This window comes from Homo sapiens, chromosome 4 (genome assembly GCF_000001405.40).
Source record: "Homo sapiens chromosome 4, GRCh38.p14 Primary Assembly".
In the NCBI taxonomy this organism is placed as follows: Eukaryota; Metazoa; Chordata; class Mammalia; order Primates; family Hominidae; genus Homo; species Homo sapiens.
The window spans coordinates 115,392,456-115,392,977 of record NC_000004.12 but is presented as its reverse complement, the minus strand read 5'-3'; positions in this window follow the sequence as shown (position 1 = coordinate 115,392,977).

The following is a 522-nucleotide window of genomic DNA, read 5'->3' as shown; positions in this document are numbered from 1 at the left end:
GCATAGTATTCCATGTTATATATGTGCCACATTTTCTTTATCCAGTGTACCACTGATGGGCATTTGGTTTGGTTCCAAGTCTTTGCTATTGTGAATAGTGGTGCAGTAAACATATGTGTGCATGTGTCTTTATAGTAGAATGATTTGGAATCCTTTGGGTATATACCCAGTAATGGGATTGCTGGGAAAATTGGTATTTCTGGTTCTAGATCCTTGAAGAATTGCCACATTCTTCCACAATGGTTGAACTAATTTACACTCTCACCAACAGTGTAAAAGTGTTCCTATTTCTGCACATCCTCTTGTTTCCTGACTTTTTAATGATCACACCTTTCTAACTGGCGTGATATGGTATCTTATTGTGCTTTTGATTTGCATTTCTCTAATGACCAATGATGATGAGCTTTTTTTCATATGTTTATTGGCCACATAAATGTCTTCTTTTGAGAAGTGTCTGTTACCATCCTTCGCCCTCTTTTTGATGGGGTTGCTTGTTTTTTTCTTGTAAATTTGTTTATGTTC